This window comes from Homo sapiens, chromosome 5 (genome assembly GCF_000001405.40).
Source record: "Homo sapiens chromosome 5, GRCh38.p14 Primary Assembly".
Lineage (NCBI taxonomy): Eukaryota > Metazoa > Chordata > Mammalia > Primates > Hominidae > Homo > Homo sapiens.
This window is the reverse complement of record NC_000005.10, coordinates 30,701,427-30,714,034: the sequence shown is the minus strand read 5'-3', so window position 1 is coordinate 30,714,034 and position 12,608 is coordinate 30,701,427. Positions and strand designations below refer to the sequence as shown.

At 38.0% G+C, this 12,608-nt stretch overlaps 3 annotated features.

Moving 5' to 3' along the window:
* Window positions 1,311-1,480: an enhancer, noted in NCBI's record as "experimental_84325 CRE fragment used in MPRA reporter constructs". NCBI's record gives its function as "activates a minimal promoter by MPRAs in K562 erythroleukemia cells, with activity observed for both the introgressed and non-introgressed 5:30712747 or rs78116128 variant alleles {active_cell/tissue: K562}" and the evidence as "EXISTENCE:reporter gene assay evidence [ECO:0000049][PMID:34662402]".
* Window position 1,395: a transcriptional cis regulatory region, noted in NCBI's record as "Neanderthal adaptively introgressed variant 5:30712747 (GRCh37/hg19 assembly coordinates) or rs78116128 in the experimental_84325 CRE". NCBI's record gives its function as "modulates activity of the experimental_84325 enhancer by MPRAs in K562 erythroleukemia cells {active_cell/tissue: K562}" and the evidence as "EXISTENCE:reporter gene assay evidence [ECO:0000049][PMID:34662402]".
* Window positions 9,963-10,132: an enhancer, noted in NCBI's record as "experimental_84311 CRE fragment used in MPRA reporter constructs". NCBI's record gives its function as "activates a minimal promoter by MPRAs in K562 erythroleukemia cells, with activity observed for the non-introgressed 5:30704095 variant allele {active_cell/tissue: K562}" and the evidence as "EXISTENCE:reporter gene assay evidence [ECO:0000049][PMID:34662402]".

The window sequence follows — 12,608 nt, the reverse complement described above, 5'->3', positions numbered from 1 at the left end:
CATATGAATTTTGGGGAAACATAAACATTTAGTCTATAGCACCAGCTCATTCAAAAATCTGGGATCGGTTGTACATACTTAAGTGTTTTTAGGCTCTAAGCTCTTGGGTGGTTTGATACATAGCATTTACATGACAAAAAATAACTGATATAACTACTATAGTAATTTTCAGTAATGCACTTAAACTGGGTTTTGCAAATTTCAAGTTATTGTTCATTAAAGAAGTAGAAATTTAGATAAATTAGTTTAAAAAGGAGAGAATAATTCTCTCCTGATTAGAACATATAAATTAATTCAATTCTTATTGTTTTTGTGCAGATACGGGTGATACTAGATTCTTCTTTCTATTGTGATTCCTGTCCAGTTGCTTAGAACTGAGAAGAATGAGAGAGATAGACACCTCTGGGGAATTATGTTGGTAGCCAAGCAAGGAAGACACTGAGATAGCTGACAGCTGCCAGTGGGATGGAAGCTATAAGGACTTTACTATCAAACCCTGACAATCTGTTTACAAGACCAGGGACTATTGGCAGGTGAAAGTAGGATTTTCACTCATTATGTCTCTTAACAGAAAAGAAGAATTAAGAAATAAGAGTCAAGGAAACTCTTCCCAAAGAGGAATATACATTGATGTTATATGAAAAAGGAGTTCTTTATTCAGGTAAGTTTGAAAAACATAAGGTCAAATAAAGTGAAACACTTTTTTTGTTGTTGTTTTTAACTGCAAGACTTCTAAGACTCTTTACGATACTATTTGTTTTGTGAATCCCCCAAAGAAACATACAGTGTGCAATATTCTCCATGTTTATTTGACCACAGGACTAGTTTTTTTCAAAGGGCATTTTGCAGGATTATATTTTCACCAAGTACACTTTGGGGAATGCTGAGTTGACGGTATGTATACTGTGTAATCTTTACTTCCAATTTTGAAGTTTAAAACTTTGTTCTATAAATATAACATTTTCATCAGTGTATATTTTAATGTGCAAGCTTATTTGATTAGGAAATCCTAAGGGGGAAAAAAAAACAAGAAGTGTAAGCTACCGAGATTGTGGCATGATTTTAGATATTCAAAATTTTTTTTTGGTTGTAAGATTGTATATCATGCCATGTCTTCTAACATCTGACTTCAATTATAGGTCAAACATAAGGATAATAACTTTTATAAACATTCACTTTTTGAAAATTTACCATGTCTCAGGCACTGTGTGAAATTGCTTTCCATATGTCACCACAATCAAAACTCTATAAATTCAGTTCAGTTATACTATGTTAAAAAAGATGGGAGCCAGGCACGGTGGCTTCTACTTGTAATCCCAGCTACTTGGGAGGCTGAAGCAGGTGGATCTCTTGAGGTTAGGAGTTTGAAACAAGCCTGGACAACAGAGCAAGATCTCATCTCTAAGAAAATAAAAAATAAAATGATGAAACTGAAATTTAAAGACGTTAGTTTAAGGCCACAAATAAACTTTTTAAGAAGAGACAAAACTGAGATTCACTTACAATTCTGTATGATGCTAACACCTTCATCACTTAATGACTGCATATCACTAACCAGGAGGCATACTGTTCAGTATTTAGAGGAATGCAGTTCTGACTACATAAGCAAACATGCTGTTAGAGAATAATCAAGGAACAAATACATTTTAGAGTGAGTAGGTGAGAGCATTAGTGACACTGACGGAGAAACATGTATCTAAAGACATTTTGAAACTCAGCAGTTTATACAGTCTAGATTGACCATGGACATTGAGATTAAGGAGCAGATATTAACAAATGTGAAAAATTATCAAATCCTTTTGACCACACTGTAATGAGTTACTTTGCTCAAACTCAAAGTTTATCATCTCTTTCTTTGTGATTTTTGGATTATAATAAGAAATTGTAGTTTTGATATGAATTCAAAAAAACACAGGCTAACTATGTTGTGATCAATAAATTATCAGTAAATTATTACTGTAAATAAACTTTGAGCACAGAAACAAAGAATCATTCGTTAAAAAAATACTTTGGCAGATGTGAGAACTAGTTGAAGTTTCCCGTAATACATGACTAATTAGCAACATTTTTAACAGTTTTATAGATATAATTAATGACATATAAAAACTAAACATACTTGTAGTGTATAATTTGTAGTCTTGACATGTGTAAACACCCATAAAATCATCATTGTAATAAAGATAATGAATGTATCTATCACCCCCTGTATTAGGCCGTTCTTGCATTGCTATAAAGGAATACACGAGACTGAGTAATTTATAAGAAAAGATGTTTAATTGGCTCATGGTTCTGCAGGCTGTACCAGAAGCATAGTGCCAGCATCTACTTCAGGGGAGGTTTCAGAGAGATTTACTTATGGCAAAATGTGAAGTGGGAGAGTAGGTGTTTCACATAGCAAGAACGGGAGCAAGAGAGACACAGAGTGTGTGTGTGTCGGGGGGAGGTGCCACAAACTTTTAAAAAACCAGGAGCTTAGAAGGAGAGCTTACCTATCACCAAGGGGATGGCCCAAGCCATTCTTGAGGGATCTTCCCCCCATGATTCAAACACCTCCCACTAGGCCCCACCTCCAACACTGGAGATGGCATTTCAACATGAGATTTGGGCAGGGAGAAATATCCAAACTATATCATTCTGCCTCTGCCCACCCACTGAATCTCCTGTTCTTCTCACATTGCAAAATATAATCATGCGTTCCTAATAGTCCCCCAAAGTCTTAACTCATTCCAGGATTAACTCAGAAGTCCAACGCCCAAAGGCTCATCTGAGAGAAGGCAAGTCTCTTCCATCTATTAGCCTGTAAAATAAAAAATAAGTTATTTACTTCCAAGATACAATGGGGGTATAGGCATTGGGTAAACCTTGCCATTTCAAAAGGGAGAAATCAGCCAAAAGAAAGGGGTTACAGGTCTCACATAAGTTCAAAACACAGCAGGACAATTATTAAATCTTTTTTTATTTTTTATTTATTTATTTTTATTATACTTTAAGTTTTAGGGTACATGTGCACAACGTGCAGGTTTGCTACATATATATACATGTGCCACGTTGGTTTGCTGCACCCATTAACTCATCATTTAACATTAGGTATATCTCTAAGGCTATCCCTCCCCCCTCCCCGTACCCCACAACAGGCCCCGGTGTGTGATGTTCCCCTTCCTGTGTCCATGTGTTCTCATTGTTCAATTCCCACCTATGAGTGAGAACATGCGGTGTTTGGTTTTTTGTCCTTGCGATAGTTTGCTGAGAATGATGGTTTCCAGCTTCATCCATGTCCCTACAAAGGACATGAACTCATCGTTTTTTATGGCTGCATGGTATTCCATGGTTTATATGTGCCACATTTTCTTTACCAAGTCTATCATTGATGGGCATTTGGGTTGGTTCCAAATCTTTGCTATTGTGAACAGTGCTGCAATAAACATATGTGTGCATGTGTCTTTATAGCAGCATGATTTATAAACCTTTGGGTGTATACCCAGCAATGGGATGGCTGGGTCAAATGGTATTTCTAGTTCTAGATCCCTGAGGAATTGCCACACTGACTTCCACAATGGTTGAACTAGTTTACAGTCCCACCAACAGTGTAAAAGTGTTCCTATTTCTCCACATCCTCTCCAGCACCTGTTGTTTCCTGACTTTTTAATGATCACCATTCTAACTGGTGTGAGATGGTATCTCATTGTGGTTTTGATTTGCATTTCTCTGATAGCCAGTGATGATGAGCATTTTTTCATGTGTCTTTTGGCTGCATAAATGTCTTCTTTTGAGAAGTGTCTGTTCATATCCTTTGCCCACTTGTTGATGGGGTTGTTTGTTTTTTCTTGTAAATTTGTTTGAGTTCATTGTAGATTCTGGATATTAGCCCTTTGTCAGATGGGTAGATTGCAAAAATGTTCTCCCATTCTGTAGGTTGCCTGTTCACTCTGATGGTAGTTTCTTTTGCTGTGCAGAAGCTCTCTAGTTTAATGAGATCTCATTTGTCAATTTTGGCTTTTGTTGCCATTGCTTTTGGTGTTTTAGACATGAAGTCCTTGCTCATGCCTGTGTCCTGAATGGTATTGCCCAGGTTTTCTTCTAGGGTTTTTATGGTTTTAGGTCTAACATTTAAGTCTTTAATCCATCTCGAATTAATTTTTGTATAAGGTGTAAGGAAGGGATCCAGTTTCAGCTTTCTACATATGGCTAGCCAGTTTTCCCAGCACCATTTATTAAATAGGGAATCCTTTCCCCATTTCTTGTTTTTGTCAGGTTTGTCAAAGATCAAATAGTTGTACATATGTGGCATTATTTCTGAGGGCTCTGTTCCATTCCATTGGTCTATATCTCCGTTTTGGTACCAGTATCATGCTGTTTTGGTTGCTGTAGCCTTGAAGTATAGCTTGAAGTCAGGTAGTGTGATGCCTCCAGCTTTGTTCTTTTGGCTTAGGATTGACTTGGCGATGCGGGCTCTTTTTTGGTTCCATAGGAACTTTAAAGTAGTTTTTTTCCAATTCTTTGAAGAAAGTCATTGGTAGCTTGATGGGGATGGCACTGAGTCTATAAATTACCTTGGACAGTATGGCCATTTTCATGATATTGATTCTTCCTACCCATGAGCTTGGAATGTTCTTCCATTTGCTTGTATCCTCTTTTATTTCATTGAGCAGTGGTTTGTAATTCTCCTTGAAGAGGTCCTTCATGTCCCTTGTAAGCTGGATTCCTAGGTATTTTATTCTCTTTGAAGCAATTGTGAAAGGGAGTTCACTCATGATTTGGCTCTCTGTTTGTCTGTTGTTGGTGTATAAGAATGCTTGTGATTTTTGCACATTGATTTTGTATCCTGAGACTTTGCTGAAGTTGCTTATCAGCTTAAGGAGATTTTAGGCTGAGTAAATTGGGTTTTCTAGATATACAATCATGTCATCTGCAAACAGGGACAATTTGACTTCCTCTTTTCCTAATTGAATACCCTTTATTTCCTTCTCCTGCCTGATTGCCTTGGCCAGAACTTCCAACACTATGTTGACAGTCGTTAAATCTTAATGCTCCAAAATAATCTTTGACTCTGTATGCTGCATCCAGGGAACACTGCTGCAAGATTTGAGCCCTCAAAACCTTGGACAGATCAGCCTCTGTGGCTTTTCCACGTTGAGGTTGCAAGCTGCTGGTGGCTCTACCACTCCAGTGTCTGGAGGGCAGTGGTTCCCACCTCAACAGTTCCAAGGCAGTGCCACAGTGGCGACTCTCTATGGGGTCTCCAACCCTACATTCTTTCTTGGGATTGCCCTAGTAGAGGTTCTCTATGAGGGCTCCATTCTGCAGCAGGTCTCTGCCTGGACACCCAGGTTTTTCCATGCATCCTCTGAAATCTAGGGGGAGGCTGCCAAGCATTCTTTGCTCTTGCATTCTGTCCACTAACAGGTTTAACACCATGTGGAAGCCACCAAGGCTTATGGCTTGCAGTTTCCAATGTGGTAGACTGAGCTGTACCTTGGCCACTTTGAGCTACAGCTGGAGCTGAAGCAGCCAGGATGTGGGAAGCAGTGTCCTGAGGCTGTTCACGGCAGTGGGGTCCTGTGCCTGACCTGTAAAACCATTCTGTTTTTCCAGGTATCTGGTTCTGTGATAGAAGTGGCTGCCTTAAAGGTCTCTGAAATGTCTTTAAGGTCTTTTCCACATTGTCTGGGATATTAGCAATTGGATTCCTTTTATTTATGCAAATATCTCTAGCAAGTGATTGCTCTGCACCCTGCTTGAATCTTCTTCCCCCAAAAGCTTTTTCTTTCTCTTCCATACGGCCAGCCTGAAAATTTTCCAAACTTTTATGTTCTGCTTACCTTTTAAATATATACTTCAAGTCATTTATTTACTTCTACATTAAGATAGGCTGTTAGAAGCAGCCAGACCACATCTTGAACACTTTGCTGCTTAGACATTTCTTCTGCCAGATACCCTAAATCATTGCTTTTTTAGTTCAAACTTCCACTAGAAGCTTCCCTAGATTTCTAGGGCATGAACAGAACGTAGCCAAGCTCTTGGCTAAGGCATAACATGCATAACCTTTGTTCCAGTTCCCAGTAAGTCCTCATTTCCATCTAAGAGCTTGTCGGCCTGGACTTCACTGTCCATATCACTGTGTTCACATTAGTCACAACCATTTAACCAGCCTCTTAGACTTTCCAGACTTTTCCTTATCTTCCTGTCTTCTTTTGAGCCCTCCAAACTCTTCCAATTCCTGCCTCTTACCCAGTTCCAAAGTCCCTTCCACATTTTCAAGTGTCTTTATGGCAATATCCAAATCCCTGGTACCAGTTATCTATATTTAGGCTGTTCTTTTTTTTTTTTTTTTTTTTTTTTGAGATGGAGTCTTGCTCTGTCACCTAGGCTGGAGTGCAGTGGTGCAATGTTGGCTCACTGCAAGCTCCGCCTCCTGGGTTCACACCATTCTCCTGCCTCAGCCTCCTGAGTAGCTGGGACTACAGGCATCTGCTACCATGCCTGGATAATTTTTTGTATTTTTAGTAGAGACAGGGTTTCACCATGTTGGTCAGGATGGTCTTGATCTCTTGACCTCATGATTCACCCATAGGCTGTTCTTGAATTGCAACAAAGAAATACCTGAGACTGGGTAATTAATAAAGAAAAGATTTCTGATTGGCTAATGGTTCTGCAGGCTTTACAGGAAGCATGTGTGCCAACATCTGCCCAGCTTTTGGGGAGGCCTTGAGAAGCTTACAATCATTGCAGAAGATAAAGCAGGAGCAGTCACTTCACACTGTGAAAGCAGGAGCAAGAAAGAAAGAGTGGGTGGAAGGTGCCACATGCTTTTAAACCATCAGATCTCATGTGAACTCAAAGAAAAAGCTCACTTATCACAAAGGGGATAGCAGAAGCCATTCATGAGGGACTTGCCCTCATGATCCAAACACATTTCACCAGGCCCCACTTTCAACATTGGGGATTACATTTCCACATGAGATTTTGGTGGGGACAAATATCCAAACTATATCACCTCAAAGTTTCTTTTTGCTTTTTTCTAATTCCTTCCTGCCATTTCTCCCCATCCCCCAAGTACCAGGAAAACACTATCTACTGTCAGTATAAATAGAAACACATAGTGTATACCCTTTCTGTGTCTGGCTACTTTCACTTAGTATAGTGAGTTTGAAATTTATTCATACTGTTATACATGTGAATAGTCCATTACCATTTATTGCTGAGCAGTATACCATTGTGTGGATATACCAGGTTTTCTATTCACTTGTTTGTTTTTAATTTTTTTATTTTGAATTTTTGTAGTTAATAGTAGGTGTATATATTTATGGGGTACAGAAAATGTTTTGATATAGTCACACAATGCATAATGTGGTAATGGGGTATTCTTCACCTCAAGCATTTATCCTTTCTTTGTATTACAAACAGTCCAATTATACTCTTTAAGTTAATGTAAAATGTACATTAAATGATTGTTGACTCTAGTCACCCCTGTTGTGATATCAAATACTAGATCTCTCTAATTCTAATCATATTTCTGTAACCATTAAGTAATCCCACTACACTTCTCAGCCTCTGGTAACTATCATTCTATTCTCTATTTCCATGAGTTCAATATTTTTTTAATCTCCCACCAGTAAGTGAGAACATGTGAAGTTTTTCTTTCTGTGCTTAGGAGTGCAGATATCTCTTTAATATACTGATATCCTTTCTTTTGTGCATATAGCTAACAGTGAAATTTCTGGACCATATTTTAGCTCTATTTTTACTTTTTTGGAGGAAGCTCCAAATTGTTCTTCACAGTTGTGGTACTAATTTACATTCCCACCAACAGTGTATAAGGGCTCCCTTTTCTCCACATCCTCATCAGGATTTATTATTGCCTGTCCTTTGGATAAAAGCAATTTTAACTGGGGCGAAATGATATATCATTGTAGTTTTGATTGGCATTTCTCTATCACTGATGTTGAACATATTTTTAAATAGCTGTTTGCCATTTCATGTCTCCCTTTTAGAAATGTCTTTTGAGATTTTTTCTCATTTTTTAATTAAATTATTGACTTTTTATTGATTATTTGCACTCATGTATTCTGATTACTAGGCCCTTGTCAGATGAATAGTTGGCAAATATTTTGTTCAATTCTGTGGGTTGCCTCATCACTTTGTTGGTATTTCCTTTGCCATGCAGAAGTTTTTTAACTTAGTGTGATCCCATTTGTCCATTTTTGCTTTGGTTGCCTGTGTTTGTGGGGCATTACTCAAGAAATCTTTGCCTGGTCCAATTTCCTGGAGATGTTCCCCAATGTTTTCTTGTAGTAGTTTTATAGTTTAAAGTCTTTGCCATTAAAGACAATTAGATTTGTCTTTAATTCATTTTGATATGGTGAACAATAAGGATCTAGTTTCATTCTTCTGGATGCAGATATCCAGCTTTCCCAGCAGGTTTTATTGAAGAAATTGTTGTTTCCCCAATGTATGCTCTTGGCATCTTTGTCAAAAATGAGTTCACTGTAGATTTATGGATTTATATCTAGGTTCTCTATTCTGTTCCATTGGTATATGTGTCTGTTTTTATGCCAGTACCGTGCTGTTATGGTTACTATGGCTGTGTACAATAATTTGAAGGCAGGTAATATGATTCCTCCAGTTTTGTTCCTTTTGCTCAGGATAGGTTTGGTATTCTTTTGTGGTTCCATATAAATTTTAGTACTATTTTTTATATTTCTTTGAAAAATGTCTTTGGTATTTTGATAGGAATTACAATCAATAGATTGTTCGTATTGCTTTGGGTAGTGATATGGTTGACTGTGTGCCCACATAAAATCTCATCTTGAATTATAATCCCCATTGTTGCGGGAAGTCAGGGACCATGAATGGAGGGACCGGCTGGAGCCGTAGCAGAGGAAACATAAATTGTGAAGATTTCATGGACATTTATCCCTTCCCTAATAATACTCTTACACTTTCTTATGCCTGTCTTACTTTAATCTCTTAATCCTGTTATCTTTGTAAGCTGAGGATGTACATCACCTCAGGACCCTGTGATGACTGTAACTGTACAAAATGATTGTAAAACATGTGTGTTTGAACAATATGAAATCAGTGCACCTTGAAAATGGACAGAATAACAGCAATTTTAGGGAACAAGAGAAGACAACCATTAAGGTCTGATTGCCTGCGGGGTCGGGCAAAAAGAGCCATATGTTTCTTCTTGCAGAGAGCCTATAAACAGACGTGCAAGTAGGAGAGATATCGCTAAATTCTTTTCCTAGCAAGAAATATAATATTAAGACCCTAGGAAAAGAATTGCATTGCTGGGGGGATGTCTATAAACAGTTGCTCTGGGAGTGTCTGTCCTATGTGGTTGAGATGAGGACTGAGATATGCCCTGGTTTCCTGCAGTACCCTCAGGCTTACTAGGATTGGGAAACCACAGCCCTGGTAAATTTGAGGTCAGACTGGTTCTCTGCTCTCGAACCCTGTTTTCTGTTAAGATGTTTATCAAGACAATACGTGCACCGCTGAACATAGACCCTTATCAGGAGTTTCTGATTTTGCCCTGGTCCTGTTTCCTAAGAAGCATGTGATCTTTGTTTTCCTTTTTGCCCCTTAAAGCATGTGATCTTTGTGACCCACTCCCTGTTCATACACCTACTCCCCTTTTGAAATCCCTAATAAAAACTTGCTGGTTTTGTGGTTCAGCTGGGCATCACGGACCTACCGATATATGATGTCACCCCTGGCAGCCCAGCTGTAAAATTCCTCTCTTTGTACTCTTTTTCTTTATTTCTCATACCAGCTGACACTTAGGGAAAATGGAAAGAACCTACATTGAAATATTGGGGGTGGGATCCCCCTATGCCCATAATCCGCATGTGCCAAGGATGGGACCAGGTGGAGGCAATGAGATCATGGGGTGGTTCCCCCCATGCTGTTCTCGTGATGGTGAGTGACTCTCATGAGATCTGATGATTCCATAAGTGTCTGACATTTCCCGTACTTGCACTCACTCTGTCCTGCTGCCCTGTGAATGAAAGTGCTTGTTTCTCCTTTGCCTTTGACCATGATTTTAAGTTTCCTGAAGCACCTCAAGCGATGCAGAGGTGTGAGTCAATTAAACCTCTTTGCTTTATAAATTACCCAGTCTTGGGTATTTCTTCATAGCAGTGTGAGAATGGACTAATATAGGTAGTATGGACATTTAAAAAATATTAATTCCTTCAGTCCATGCGTATGGAACATCTTCCTATTTTTTGTCATCATCTTCAATTTCTTTCATCAATGTTTTATAGTTTTCATTGCAGAGGTATTTCATTTCTCTGATTAAGTTTATTTCTAGGTATTTCATTTTATTTTATTTGTAGCTATTGGAAATGGTGTTACTTTCTTGATTTTTTTTTCAGATTGTTCACTGTTGGCATACAGAAATGCTACTGAGTTTTGTAAGATTATTTTGTATCCTGAAACTTTACTGTATTTATTTATGAGGTCTAGTTTTTTTTTGATGGAGTCTTTAGGGTTTTCCAATTGTAAGAACATATTATCTGCAAACACAAAAAATTTGATTTTTTTTCCCTTTATTTCTTTCTTTTGTCTGATTGCTCTAGCTAGGACTGTCAGTACTATTTTGAGTACCAGTCATGAAAGAGGGCATCTTTGACTTGTTCCAGATCTTAGAGAAAAGGCTTTCAGTTTTTCTCCATTCAGTATACTACCTGTGGATTTGTCATATATGGCTTTTCTTGAGTTGAGGTATCTTTCTTCTATATACAAATTAGTGTGTTTTTATCATAAAGGGATGTTGAATTTTATCAAATTCTTCTTCAACATCAATTAAAATGTTCATACATTTTTTGTCCTTCATTCTGTTGATATCATGTATTATACTGATTTGCATAGGTTGAGCCATCCTTGTATCCCTGGAATAAATCTCACTTGGTCATGAGAAATGATGTTTTTAACATTTTATTCAGTTCAGTTTGCTAGTATTTTGCTGAGAAATTTTGCATCAATTTTCATAAAGAATATTGGCCTGTAGTTTTTTTCTATGTGTTGTCTGCTTTTGGTATCAAGGTAATAGTGGCCTTGTAGAATGAATTGAGAGATATTCCCTAGTATTAGTCCATTCTCATGCTGGTATGAAGAAATTCTGTTTTTTTTTTTTTTTTACATTTTCATATCTAAAAACTCATTTTATTAATTTTTTTTATGTTAATAGTCTTGGAGAACATTTTTAATCACTACATCATATACCATCATATGGATGTACCACAATTTGTTTTGTCATTACATTAGTGACTTATAGCTTTTCATGATTATGGTACAAAAGTACATTTATAAGAATATCTTGTTTATTATTAAAGTGGTAAAAATGTTAACATGGATGAAAAATAACTCCCATGATTGTAGTATAATGATCTCACCAAACTTCATCACCTCCTTCAAGTTTTTGCTTAAATGTCTTCTTTTTTTATTATTATTATTATACTTTAAGTTTTAGGGTACATGTGCACAACGTGCAGGTTTATTACATATGCATACATGTGCCGTGTTGGTGTGCTGCACCCATTAACTCGTCATTTAGCATTAAGTATATCTCCTAATGCTATCCCTCCCCTTCCCCCCACCCCACAACAGTCCCCGGTGTGTGATGTTCCCCTTCCTGTGTCCATGTGTTCTCATTGTTCAATTCCCACCTATGAGTGAGAACATGCGGTGTTTGGTTTTCTGTCCTTGCGATAGTTTGCTGAGAATGATGGTTTCCAGCTTCATCCATGTCCCTATAAATGACATGAACTCACCATTTTTTATGGCTGCATATTATTCCATGGTGTATATGTGCCACATTTGGTATGAAGAAATTCTCGAGACTGGGTAATTTATAAAGAAAAGAGGTTTAATTGACTCATAGTTCTCTAGGGCTAGGTGGCCTCAGAAAATACAATTATAGCAGAAGCTGGAGCAAACAGTCCTTCTTCGTATGGTGGCAGAAAGGAGAAGTACTGAGCAAACAGTAAAAGCTCCTTTCAAAACCATCAGATCTCATGAGAACTCACTATCACAAGAACAGCATGAGAGTAACTACCCCCATGATTCAATTACTTCCCATGAGGTCCCTTCCCCAACACATGGGGATTAAAATCTGTATTACAATATTACAATTCGGAGTACAATTCAAGATGAGACTTGGGTGGGTACATAGAGCCAGATCATATCATTCTGCCCCTGGCCCCTCCAAAATCTCTTTCTCACATTTCAAAACACAATTATGCCTTCCCAACAGTTCCCCAAAGTCTTAACTAATTTCAGCATTAACCCAAAAGTCCAAGACCATAGTTTCATCTGAGACAAGGCAAGTCCCTTCCACCTATGAGCCTGTAAAATTGAAAGCAAGTTAGTCACTTTCTGAATTCAGTGGGGGTACAGGAACTGGGTAAATACACCCATTCCAAATGGGAGAAATTATCCACAACAAAGGGGCTACAGGCCCCATGCATACCCAAAATCCAACAGGGAAGTCATTAAACCTTAAAGTTCTGAAATGACCTCTTTTGACACCATGTCTCACATTGAAGTCACACTGATACAAGAGGTGGGATTCAATGGGCTTGGGCAGCTCTGCCTCTGTGGCT